Source organism: Homo sapiens, chromosome X, assembly GCF_000001405.40.
Source record: "Homo sapiens chromosome X, GRCh38.p14 Primary Assembly".
NCBI lineage: Eukaryota > Metazoa > Chordata > Mammalia > Primates > Hominidae > Homo > Homo sapiens.
Window position 1 is genome coordinate 105954865 of NC_000023.11, and position 14301 is coordinate 105969165.

The following is a 14301-nucleotide window of genomic DNA, read 5'->3' on the forward strand; positions in this document are numbered from 1 at the left end:
AAATTGCATGAGTGGATGTTAAGTGCTCTCACCATAAAAATGATAACCACATGAGGTGATACATTTGTTAATTAACAAGATTTAACAATTCCACAGTGTATATGGACTTCAAAACATCATTTTGTTTGTGATAAAAACATACAGTATTATCTGTCTGTTAAATTTTTTAATATTAAAAAATAATGAAAAGAAAAAAAAAGAAAATTGTACCAAGTAGAAAATTTCAATGGCTTCTTAAATATAAGCAGCAATGGTAAACAACACCTAAATAATTTGTTTCCTTATATTAAAAGAAAAGCCAACTGGAATATAAGTAGATTATTGTTTTAAAAAGCAAAGAATTATTGCCCAAAAATAATCAAGAACTTCAGCAAATGAAGGCCACCTACGAAATTACTAATTTTATTTAACCATATAAATTATAATTATGTAGACTATAGTAAAAGGGTTGTTTTAAAAATGTATAAATTAGACTTCAAACTAAAGTAAACTCATTCTTTCATTTGAAAAACAAACTATTCCACAAAACAGTAAGGCTTAATATCTTAATTAGCAGATGCAGATAAAATTATAGTTATATGAAATATCTGGTTGCAATGTATTAAATATCTGTTGACAGTGTATTTCTTTCTTTTTCAAGCTGTTCTTTACCTCTACCCTGCGCAATCACCACAGCCGGGTTTACTTCATGACACTTGGAAAACTTGAAGAGCTCCAAAGCAATTATGATGTCTAAAAGTTTCCAGTGATTTATTACCACATTATAAACATCATGTATAGGCAGTCTGCATCTTCAGATTTCAGAGATTAAATGAGTATTCAGTTTTATTTTTAGTAAAGATTAAATCCAAAACTTTACTTTTAATGTAGCACAGAATAGTTTTAATGAGAAATGCAGCTTTATGTATAAAATTAACTATAGCAAGCTCTAGGTACTCCAATGGTGTACAATGTCTTTTGCACAAACTTTGTAACTTTTGTTACTGTGAATTCAAACATTACTCTTTGGACAGTTTGGACAGTATCTGTATTCAGATTTTACAACATGGAGTAAAGAAACCTGTTATGAATTAGATTACAAGCAGCCTTCAAAAGAATTGGCACTGGGATAAGATTTTTCAGAAAAAGAAAAACATCGGCAAACTGTGTGTGATTTTTCCAAAGCTATATAAAGAACCAAAGGTTTAGTCAAGAAACAAAAATCTTAAAGATTATTATAACCCAGACTAAGGTTGAACAACCTGCATGCCCAGAGAAAACTATGGCGACAAAGGGGAAAAGGCCACCACTCGTTTTCTCACTGATTCATGCCAATTAAGCCTACAGTTAAAGACCAGTTTTGTTCTTTTCACCCATTTTTAAGCTGGTTTTCTCCTGATAAGAAGAAAGGAAGAAAGCCCCAGACGCTTGGTTTTTCTCAGAACCCCCAAAAGATGTGCAATAGCTGTTGTTACAAACCACCAAATAATACAGTTGTGAGCCTGAATACAGGACTGAACTCCTATACACGTGTACTGTAGAATGAGTATTTTTTAATACCTTAAGGTAGGCGTCAAATTCTACTCCCCAAAGCAGAGATAGATTGATTTATCAAAATTATTATCTGGCCAACAGTGTGACTATCAGACAGCATCAAATATTTGCCCAATCCAAGATTAGACTACACAAAAGCTTCCTTCCAGTATTAAACAAAAAGAATTAAACATAACTATGAAAAAACTTTGCTAATATCTGTGTTTTTCAGATTTCATTTTTTGTAAAATCAGAAATTAATCTAAACATATTCAGTGATAAGTTCATGTGTAACGACTTAATGTTAAAGGTTAAAAAAAAGATTTCACAAAATATACAACTTTCACCATATATATAAGCCTGCAAAATTAGAGTAGTGAAAGTCATGCTAGTCCATCACCCAAATATGTTATAGACGCCATAGACAGGTGATGTTTGGTCACCTATGGTAACTGCTACCTGATGAAGAGCATAATTTCTGCATATCCATCCTCAATACCATGGTAAATTCTGGGGCAATAGAGAAGCAACAGAACTGCCACAAAGTATACCTCAATATAATTCCTCTAGTTCTGCTTCTAAAATCTGAGGACAGTGCTAGTGGGAAAATAATTTTCAAACTACCTGGTTAACCAAAATACAAAAGCAGCTGACTATGTGTGATTTCATAATAGCACATTTCTTGACACTTAGTGCTAGAAATGAAGATTTGGATTTTCCTAACAACTTACATCAAGAATGTAGTGTAGCTCATTATTGAGAATTTAGGAAAGCCTGAATCCATTAATTAAGGAAATAAATGTGACTCACATTTCTTTTACTGTGACACAATAATGTGATCCTAAAACTGGCTTATCCTTGAGTGTTTACAACTCAAACAACTTTTTGAATGCAGTAGTTTTTTTTTTTTAAAAACAAACTTTTATGTCAAATTTTTTTTCTTAGAAGTAGTCTTCATTATTATAAATTTGTACACCAAAAGGCCATGGGGAACTTTGTGCAAGTACCTCATCGCTGAGCAAATGGAGCTTGCTATGTTTTAATTTCAGAAAATTTCCTCATATACGTAGTGTGTAGAATCAAGTCTTTTAATAATTCATTTTTTCTTCATAATATTTACTCAAAGTTAAGCTTAAAAATAAGTTTTATCTTAAAATCATATTTGAAGACAGTAAGACAGTAAACTATTTTAGGAAGTCAACCCCCATTGCACTCTGTGGCAGTTATTCTGGTAAAAATAGGCAAAAGTGACCTGAATCTACAATGATGTCCCAAAGTAACCAAGTAAGAGAGATTGTAAATGATAAACCGAGCTTTAAAGGATAAAGTGTTAATAAAGAAAGGAAGCTGGGCACATGTCAAAAAGGGAGATCGAAATGTTAGGTAATCATTTAGAAAGGACAGAAAATATTTAAAGTGGCTCATAGGTAATGAATATTTCTGACTTAGATGTAAATCCATCTGGAATCTTTACATCCTTTGCCAGCTGAAACAAGAAAGTGAAGGGACAATGATATTTCATGGTCAGTTTATTTTGTAAGAGACAGAAGAAATTATATCTATACATTACCTTGTAGCAGCAGTACCTGGAAGCCCCAGCCCGTCACAGAAGTGTGGAGGGGGGCTCCTGACTAGACAATTTCCCTAGCCCTTGTGATTTGAAGCATGAAAGTTCTGGCAGGTTATGAGCAGCACTAGGGATAAAGTATGGTTTTATTTTGGTGTAATTTAGGTTTTTCAACAAAGCCCTTGTCTAAAATAAAAGGCATTATTGGAAATATTTGAAAACTAGAAAATGATGGATAAAAGGGCTGATAAGAAAATTTCTGACTGTCAGTAGAAGTGAGATAAGATCCTCAGAGGAAACAGTAAGAAGGGATAATCATTAAGATAGTAAAACAGGCAAAGCAGAATCACATGTGCACACACACATACACATGTAAACATTGGAATGCATAAGTTTTAATATTTTAGCGCTATCAGTTTCTAAATGCATTAATTACTAACTGCCCTCTCCCAAGATTCATTTAGTTCAAACAGTATCCGTAAACTAGGAATAATGCCACATGCATTCAATGGGATCTTTTAAGTACTCTTCAGTTTGTTCCAAGAAATGTGCCTACTGAAATCAAATTAATTTGTATTCAATGTGTACTTCAAGACTGCTAATTGTTTCATCTGAAAGCCTACAATGAATCATTGTTCAACCTTGAAAAATAAAATTTTGTAAAACATCGGTTGATGTCATTATTGAAATATACTTATCTAATGCCATGGAATTAGGACTTACTCAAATAATATTCATTTCTTTAAAGTATATAATAATGAACTGATTAGAATATGTTAGGGGTTCAGCTTGTTGTTGCATTTGGAATTCTGGCCAAAGAGGGATATATTAATCTGATTTTAAAAATACCTTCTGGCTACAGTAGTGAAATTAGAAGCTGATTAATTTTCCTCTAAATATATAGGACTTTACACATAGGCATAGATTCACAGGGTATGGGTAAAACTCAAGCAAGTTTCAATGCTGCCTTCCCTCCCATGCCACCCCAGTATTTTCAAGTCCAGAGGAGAGGAAAGGTGAAGCACTCTATCACAGAGTATCTTTCATTTAAGAAGGGTTTTAGTGCAGGCTGATGGCGGAATACAGAAGACAGAGTAATCATGGCAGGTTTTCAAAAGAAGCTTAGTCCTTTCTTTAGGACCAGAAGAACAGAATTTCCCTCAGCAGGTCTTGACAGTGGAGTATTAAAAGTATAATCCCATGCACATCCTGTCATCTTGGGACATTTTGGAGAGGTGTTCATCAGGCTTACTCATTAGAGCCTGTTGGGTATTGTCCTAATTTGGCATGTGTGGCCAGGCATTCTGGAGCTGGGCTACCTGGATCACATAATGCTTATCCAGGTTGTTAAGGGCTGAATTCAAAACGTTTCATTACAATCAAATTGTTTTACTCAACTTTATTATAGGGTACACTGACTTCAGCTACTTTAGGGGACAGTGTTATGAGCGAAGGAATAAAAGTATCATCACAAATTGGAATTAGCTCAGACAGGGTGAGTCCCTAAGGCTGAGAGAGGGCATTATTCTGGGGACTTTTTATCAAAGCATGGGTACAGGGTAGGTCATGACTAGAAGTCATTAGCTATTCGCTATTAGTAACTTGCAGGAGCAGTGGGGTCTAAGGATGTCGATGCTGCAAATCTATTGACTGAATCATTTTTTAACACTGATTTCCATCTGATATAATAGCATTTTTTTAATAGAGCCCTTACCCCTGATTTAAGAATACTCAGGGTCTGAGGGAGCCAAGATGGCTGAATAGGAACAGCTCCAGTCTACAGCTCCCAGCGTGTGAGGCAGAAGATGGGTGATTTCTGCATTTCCAACTGAGGTACCGGGTTCATCTCACTAGGGAGTATCGGAAAGTGGGTGCAGGACAGTGGGTGCAGTGCACTGAGCATGAGCTGAAGCAGGGCAAGGCATCACCTCACCCGGGAAGCGCAAGGGGTCAGGGAATTCCCTTTCCTAGTCAAAGAAAGGGGTGATAGATGGCACCTGGAAAATCGGGTCACTCCCATCCTAATACTGTGCTTTTCCAATGGTCTTAGCAAATGGCACACCAGGAGATTACATCCTGTGCCTGGCTCGGAGGGTCATATGCCCACGGAGTCTTGCTCATTGCAGCCGGGAAGCTCAAACTCGGTGGAGCCCACCTCGGCTCAAGGAGGCCTGCCTGCCTCTCTAGACTCCACCTCTGGGGGCAGGGCATAGCCAAACAAAAGGCAGCAGAAAACTCTGCAGACTTAAATGTCCCAGTCTGACAGCTTTGAAGAGAGTAGTGGTTCTCCCAGCACACAGCTGGAGATCTGAGAATGGAAAGACTGCCTCCTCAAGTGGGTCCATGACCCCCGAGTAGACTAACTGGGAGGCACCCCCCAGTAGGGGCAGACTGAAACCTCACATGGCCGGGTACTGCTCTGAGACAAAACTTCCAGAGGAACGATCAGGCAGCAACATTTGCTGTTCACCAATATCCGCGGTTCTGCAGCCTCCGCTGCTAATACCCAGGCAAACAGGGTCTGGAGTGGACCTCCAGCAAACTCCAACAGACCTGCAGCTGAGTGTCCTGACTGTTAGAAGGACAACTAACAAACAGAAAGGACATCCACACCAAAACTCCATCTGTATGTCACCATCATCAAAGACAAAAGGTAGATAAAACCACAAACATGGGGAAAAAACAGAGCAGAAAAACTGGAAACTCTAAAAATCAGAGCACCTCTCCTCCTCCAAAGGAACGCAGCTCCTCACCAGCAATGGAACAAAGCTGGATGGAGAATGACTTTGACGACTTCAGAGAAGAAGGCTTCAGATGATCAAACTACTCCAAGCTAAAGGAGGAAGCTCGAACCCATGGCAAAGAAGTTAAAAACCTTGAAAAAAAATTAGACGAATGGCTAACTAGAATAACCAATGCAGAGAAGTCCTTAAAGGACCTGATAGAGCTGAAAACCATGGCACGAGAAATACGTGATGAATGCACAAGCCTCAGTAGCTGATTCGATCAACTGGAAGAAAGGGTATCAGTGATGGAAGACCAAATGAATGAAATGAAGCAAGAAGAGAAGTTTAGAGAAAAAAGGATAAAAAGAAACGAACGAAGCCTCCAAGAAATATGGGACTATGTGAAAAGACCAAATCTATGTCTGATTGGTGTACCTGAAAGTGACGGGGAGAATGGAACCAAGTTGGAAAACACTCTGCAGGATATTATCCAGGAGAACTTCCCCAATCTAGCAAGGCAGGCCAACATTCAAATTCAGGAAATACAGAGAATGCCACAAAGATACTCCTCGAGAAGAGCAACTCCAAAGACACATAATTGTCAGATTCACCAAAGTTGAAATGAAGGAAAAAATGTTAAGGGCAGCCAGAGAGAAAGGTCAGGTTACCCACAAAGGGAAGCCCATCAGACTAACAGCTGATCTCTTGGCAGAAACTCTACAAGCCAGAAGAGAGTGGGGACCAATATTCAACATTCTTAAAGAAAAGAATTTTCAACCAAGAATTTCATATCCAGCCAAACTAAGCTTCATAAGTGAAGGAGAAATAAAATCCTTTACAGACAAGCAAATACTGAGAGATTTTGTCACCACCAGGCCTGCCCTAAAAGAGCTCCTGAAGGAAGCACTAAACATGGAAAGGAACAACTGGTACCAGCCACTGCAAAAACATGCCAAATTGTAAAGACCAGAGAGGCTAGGAAGAAACTGCATCAACTAACGAGCAAAATCACCAGCTAACATCATAATGACAGGATCAAATTCACACATAACAATATTAACCTTAAATGTAAATGGGCTAAATGCTCCAATTAAAAGACACAGACTGGCAAATTGGATAAAGAGTCAAGACCCATCAGTGTGCTGTATTCAGGAAACCCATCTCACGTGCAGAGACACACATAGGCTCAAAATAAAGGGATGGAGGAAGATCTACCAAGCAAATGGAAAACAAAAAAAAGGCAGGGGTTGCAATCCTAGTCTTTAATAAAACAGACTTTAAACCAACAAAGATCAAAAGAGACAAAGAAGGCCATTACATAATGATAAAGGGATCAATTCAACAAGAAGAGCTAACTATCCTAAATATATATGCACCCAATACAGGAGCACCCAGATTCATAAAGCAAGTCCATAGAGACCTACAAAGAGACTTAGACTCCCACACAATAATAATGGGAGACTTTAACACCCCACTGTCAACATTAGACAGATCAACGAGACAGAAAGTTAACAAGGATATCCAGGAACTGAACTTAGCTCTGCACCAAGCAGACCTAATAGACATCTACAGAACTCTTCACCCCAAATCAACAGAATATGCATTCTATTCAGCACCACACCACACCTATTCCAAAACTGACCACATAGTTGGAAGTAAAACACTCCTCAGCAAATGTAAAAGAACAGAAATTATGTAGAATTTCTGTTGAACAAACTATCTCTCAGACCACAGTGCAATCAAACTAGAACTCAGGATTAAGAAACTCACTCAAAACTGCTCAACTACGTGGAAACTGAACAACCTGCTCCTGAATGAATACTGGGTACATAACAAAATGAAGGCAGAAATAAAGATGGTCTTTGAAACCAACGAGAACAAAGACACAACATACCAGAATCTCTGGGACACATTCAAAACCGTGTGTAGAGGGAAATTTATAGCACTAAATGCCCACAAGAGAAAGCAGGAAAGATCTAAAATTAACACCCAGCATCACAATTAAAAGAACTAGAGGAGCAAGAGCAAACACATTCAAAAAGCTAGCAGAAGGCAAGAAATAACTAAGATCAGTGCATAAATGAAGGAAATAGAGACACAAAAAACCCTTCAAAAAAATCAATGAATCCAGGAGCTGGTTTGTTGAAAAGATTAACAAAATTGATAGACCGCTAGCAAGACTAATAAAGAAGAAAAGAGAGAAGAATCAAACAGACACAATAAAAAATGATAAAGGGGATATCACCACCGATCCCACAGAAACGCAAACTACCATCAGAGCATACTATAAACACCTCTACTCAAATAAACTAGAAAATCTAGAAGAAATGGATAAATTCCTGGACACATACACCCTCCCAAGACTAAACCAGGAAGAAGTTGAATCTCTGAATAGACCAATAACAGGCTCTGAAACTGAGGCAATAATTAATAGCTTACCAACCAAAAAAAGTCCAAGACCAGCAGAATTCTACCAGAGGTACAAGGAGGAGCTGGTACCATTCCTTCTGAAACTATTCCAATCAATAGAAAAAGAGAGAATCCTCCCTAACTCATTTTATGAGGCCAGCATTATCCTGATACCAAAGCCTGGCAGAGATACAACAAAAAGAAGAGAATTTTAGACCAATATCCCTGATGAACACCGATGCAAAAATCCTCAATAAAATACTGGCAAACCGGATCCAGCAGCACATCAAAAAGCTTATCCACCGTGATCAAGTGGGCTTCATCCCTGGGATGCAAGGCTGGTTCAACATAAGCAAATCAATAAACGTAATCCAGCATACAAACAGAACCAATGACAAAAAACCACATGATTATCTCAATAGATGCAGAAAAGGCCTTTGACAAAATTCAACAACCCTTCAAGCTAAAAACTCTCCATAAATTAGGTATGGATGGGACGTATCTCAAAATAATAAGAGCTATTTATGACAAACCCACAGCCAGTATCATACTGAATGGGCAAAAACTGGAATCATTCCCTTTGAAAACTGGCACAAAACAGGGATGCCCTCTCTCACCACTCCTATTCAACACAGTGTTGGAAGTTCTGGCCAGGGCAATTAGGCAGGAGAAAGAAATAAAGGTTATTCGATTAGGAAAAGAGGAAGTCAAATTGTCCCTGTTTGCAGATGACATGATTGTATATCTAGAAAACCCCATCATCTCAGCCCAAAATCTCCTTAAGCTGATAGGCAACTTCAGCAAAGTCTCAGGATACAAAATCAATGTGCAAAAATCACAAGCATTCTTATACACCAATAACAGACAAACAGAGAGCCAAATCATGAGTGAACTCCGATTCACAATTGCTTCAAAGAGAATAAAATACCTAGGAATCCAACTTACAAGGGACATGAAGGACCTCTTCAAGGAGAACTACAAACCAATGCTCAATGAAATAAAAGAGGATACAAACAAATGGAAGAACATTCCATGCTCATGGGTAGAAAGAATCAATATCGTGAAAATGGCCGTACTGCCCAAGGTAATTTACGGATTCAATGCCATCCCCATAAAGCTACCAATGACTTTCTTCACAGAATTGGAAAAAAACTACTTTAAAGTTCATATGGAACCAAAAATGAGCCTGTGTTGCCAAGTCAATCCTAAGCCAAAAGAACAAAGCTGGAGGCATCACGCTACCTGACTTCAAACTATACTACAAGGCTACAGTAACCAAAACAGCATGGTACTGGTATCAAAACAGAGATATAGACCAATGGAACAGAACAGAGGCCTCACAAATAATGCTGCATATCTACAACTATCTTATCTTTGAGAAACCTGACAAAAACAGGAAATGGGGAAAGGATTTCCTATTTAATAAATGGTGCTGGGAAAACTGGCTAGCCATATGTAGAAAGCTGAAACTGGATCCCTTCCTTACACCTTGTACAAAAATTAATTCAAGATGGATTAAAGACTTAAATGTTAGACCTAAAACCATAAAAACCCTAGAAGAAAACTTAGGATAACATTCAGGACATAGGCATGGGCAAGGACTTCATGTCTAAAACACCAAAAGCAATGGCAACAGAAGCCAAAATTGACAAATGGGATCTAATTAAACTAAAGAGCTTCTGCACAGCAAAAGAAACTACCATCAGAGTGAACAGGCAACCTACAGAATGGGAGAAAATTTTTGCAATCTACTCATCTGACAAAGGGCTAGTATCCAGAATCTACAATGAACTCAAACAAATTTACAAGAAAAAAACAACCCCATCAACAAGTGGGCGAAGGATATGAACAGACACTTCTCAAAAGAAGACATTTGTGCAGCCAAAAGACACATGAAAAAATGCTCATCATCACTGGCCATCAGAGAAATGCAAATCAAAACCACAATAAGATACCATCTCACACTAGTTAGAATGGCGATCATTAAAAAGGAAACAACAGTTGCTGGAGAGGATGTGGAGAAATAGGAACACTTTTACACTGTTGGTGGGACTGTAAACTAGTTCAACCATTGTGGAAGTCATTGTGGCGATTCCTCAGGGATCTAGAACTAGAAATGCCATTTCACCCAGCCATCCCATTACTGGGTATATACCCAAAGGATTATAAAACATGCTACTGTAAAGACACATGCACACGTATGTTTATTGCAGCACTACTCACAATAGCAAAGACTTGGAACCAAGCCAAATGTCCAACAATGATAGACTGGATTAAGAAAATGTGGCACATATACACCATGGAATACTATGCAGCCATAAAAAAGGATGAGTTCATGTCCTTTGTAGGGACATGGATGAAGCTGGAAACCATCATTCTCAGCAAACTATCACAAGGACAAAAAACCAAACACCGCATGTTCTCACTCACAGGTGGGAATTGAACAATGAGAACACATGGACACAGGAAGGTGAACATCACACACTGAGGCCTGTTGTGGGGTGGGGGAAGGGGGGAGGGATAGCATTAGGAGATATACCTAATGTTAAATGAAGAGTTACTGGGTGCAGCACACCAACATGGCACAAGTATACATATGTAACAAACCTGCACGTTGTGCACATGTACGCTAAAACTTAAAGTATAATAATAAAAAAAAGAATACTCAGGGTCTTAAGGATAATAAAGCCATTGAGTATTGCTACTTTTTAATTCCAAAAACTGAATGGTGGAACTAATGAATTAAGGTCAAACATGTTTTAGATATCATTGTCACATGTCACATTTTACATTGTTCACAACCATCTCAACTGATCTAAAAATAATAGTTCAAGAAAGAGTAAAATGGATTCTATATGGATTTATATTTTCAGAAGCTAGTCCACAGCCTACTTTGTAAATATATGGATTAACCATTTCTTACAGTTTTGCCACCTCGTATTTCAAAGTGTCTTGTTTGGTGCTTAACATACAGAAGCTGTTCAATAAAAACATGAATTGAGGGGCAGAAATGGGCCCTTTTTGCTTTGCCTGGATTGTTTTTGGTGCTATTGTATCTACAACCACTTCAGACTCAGGAATCCATTTGTTGTTTCATGAAAGTATCATCTGTGTTCTGGTGACCAAAATGTCATGACCTATTATTGGTAATTTCAAAAGATTTTACCCCACAAACCTGAAGTGAAACAAAGGATAGGTCAATATAGACATTGAGTCTTTCTAAATTTTACTTACTTACCTTTATAACAACACATAAGGGCCACTATAACCCTTCAGTAATTACTCGAGGCTCATAAATAATGACAAACATAATTTAGTAAAATAATAGCACAAAAAGTTAACAAGCCATTTAACTGGCTGTTTTATGCAGACATTTGGTTTGAAGGTGATTGTTTTTCTCAAGATCAACTATTTATGTTGTATCATCCCGAGACATATTTAAGGGCATTCAGAGCTTGTCAGTATACTTTTTCATCCAAAATTTTTAATTATGTTCCTATAAACAGCTAGATATCAGGCATTCCCTAAAGGCATGTTTTGTTTTGTTTTTTGTTTTGTTTTGTTTTGTTTGCAGTTGAAAGAGTCTGTCTGATTTGCAGGTAGGTAGATACCTCTAAAATGCATACCAAATGGGATCATCTATCCAAAAGTCTAAAAAGTAAACATGCAACACCATAAAGTTGAGTCTCACATGTTGAAATAGTTGGAAATGAATGGAATGAAATTCAAAGCAAATTGAACTACATGTAAAAGGAAAAGCTTTTCTCCATAGGTAAAATTTAAATTATGTAAAAAGTTGGGGAAGTATGGGCTTCATTTGATATTGTAAAAACTATGAGTTTTACTCCACAAACGAATGTGCAGAATCCAAGCAAACAAAAACAGTTATTTGGATTCCAACACCCATTCCACCAGTCTGGGGGAAATTTAATTTTAATCATTTTTCTTTCATTCACTAGGGTTATAGAAAGGTCCCAGGTATCTTTTATGGATCAGAAAATTCAGGGGTGCCCTACTGGCCTATAGTTTACACTAGTCTACATTGATACATTTATTGCTCACTTAGTTTCTTACAGTGGTCTCTGAGGCATGTGTGGCCATGGAAATATTTGTCAAGACAGGGAGCCCAGACACCTAGTGTTATATTCACTATCATCCCACTACTTCCATGGGAGCTGAGTGGGCATGGGCCCCTGATGCTTTAAAAACCATAGTTCCTGCTATCCTTTCCCATGCCTAGTGAATCTCCTTCTCTCCCCTAAGCTCTTGTATTTCTGTCCCACTCCATTCAATACAAAATGCATTTACCTCTTTCCCTTTTCATTTGAGAATGGCCTAATATAATTGTGCAAAAAAAAATCTAGCAGGAGGTTTTCAGAAAACTTTTGCTTTAGGTTCTACTATGTAACCTCTCTACCCATCTAAGACGAACCCTCCATGAATTGGAGGAGGGGAAATATAGTGAGAACAAATGAAAACCATAATTAATTATGCTGTCACCTACACATGAAAAAAAATCAAGTAAATGTAATCAAAGAAATTAAAACTTTAAAAGATGAGACATTATTGCTATTGATGAGGTAGGCCAAACATTTCTAATCATCTCTTATCATCTCTATAATCTCCTTAGTGCCCTTATTCTTTCTTCTGTGTCATTGCAGCTTCCAAACAATTGTACCTTCTTACGTCATTGTCCCTCCTTTCTCCCTAATAGCCCCCACCTTTGAATTTATTGCTATCAGATTATAATACCTATTATGCCTCCTTGTTGCTGTCCTGTATAGACAGACCCACACCATTCCTTCTTTCCTTGGTCCATTTGGGATGCTATAACAAAATACCTGAGACTGGGTAACTTATAAAGAACAGAAATGTATTTCTCATACTTCCGGAGGCCAGAAAGTTCAACATCAAGGTGCATGCAGGTTTGGTTGTCTGGTGAAGGCTGCTCTCTGCTTCCGAGATTGTGCATTGCTGCATCATCTGGAGAGGATGAACACTGTGACCTCACATGGCAGAAGAGATGCAAGGGCAAAATAGGGTGGAAAGGGTGAACTCACCTTCCCAAACCCCTGTATAAGGCACTAATACAATTCATGAGGACAGAGCCCTCATGGTCTAATCACTTCCTAAAGGCCCCAACTCTTAATATTGTTGCATTGAGTACTAAGTTTTAACATGAATTTTGCAGGGAACACAAATATTCAAAGCATAATACTGTTACAGACCACAGGTTCTTACACTCTCATGTAATGGAAATTGACACGAAGTCCAGCAAGTTTCCTAGTCAAGGCCCTTTTTAGGGGTTTTTGTTCAAATACAAGGGAGTCAGCACTGGAATTAAAGTTATCCAGCTGCCTCCCCAAGTGGGGGGCATTGTGGTGCCTTAAGGAGTGTGACATGCATAATTCATGAGGTAAGTGAACTTTACAACATGATGTGATGGAATACAGGGTGCACAAGTGTAGTAAGGAGTCATGCTAACACATATATCACATGATTACAAAATGGCAGATGAGCACATCTTTGGGTGGAGATTTTAGTATTATAATGAAGCAAAGGCAAAGATCTGTCATCCTTCTGGTCTTGTGCGCATGCAGGTGACAGGGTTAACTTCTTTGAGTGAAACTTATGTCTGGAGGCCATTTTTTTTTTAGACTTTCTTAAGGTCCCTCAGTCAGGGATATGGTGCCTTGAATGAAATTTAGAGGGTGGAGGGAGCACAGCTTACCTTAGTTTTTAAGGTTTTGAGGTCAACAGGGCTGGGTTCCAGAGAAGGCAGGATTGAAAGTTCAGGATTGTCTGGTTGAGGTCCCAAACAGTTATAAGGCCCCCAGTAGTTTGTAGTAGAGGTCTTTGGGGTGGAGGCTGTGCTGGTGCTTCCTTGTTGCAGGTTGCAGGTGTGGGCTGAAGCCTCCACCTGCCATTGCCCATGACTGTGCTATGCCCAACAGTGCTAGTCCAGCCAGCAGTGGTGGCATGGGGCCCCACAGAGCTACGCACCATACTTTGCCCAATTCCTGGCTTTGGGCTGTATCCCCACACCCTAGGGGCAGTTTATCAATCTTGTTTATTTAAAAAAAAAAA

The 14301-nt window shown here is 38.3% G+C and overlaps 1 protein-coding gene and 1 long non-coding RNA gene across 7 annotated transcripts in view; one reads left to right on the plus strand and one right to left on the minus strand.

Moving 5' to 3' along the window:
* NRK (Nik related kinase) overlaps nt 1-3746 on the plus strand; it is a 136825-nt gene extending 133079 nt beyond the window's left edge. For all 5 annotated transcript variants that reach the window (XM_011530887.4, NM_198465.4, XM_006724632.4 and 2 more), the window contains one exon: nt 641-3746. In XM_011530887.4, the coding sequence (XP_011529189.1) occupies nt 641-736 (96 nt within the window). In that variant the 3' untranslated portion in view covers nt 737-3746. The remainder of the gene's footprint in view (nt 1-640) is intronic.
* Nucleotides 1-14301, minus strand: part of LOC105373304 (uncharacterized) — a 60450-nt gene that overhangs the window by 7397 nt on the left and 38752 nt on the right. The gene's annotated exons all lie outside the window — the stretch shown is intronic.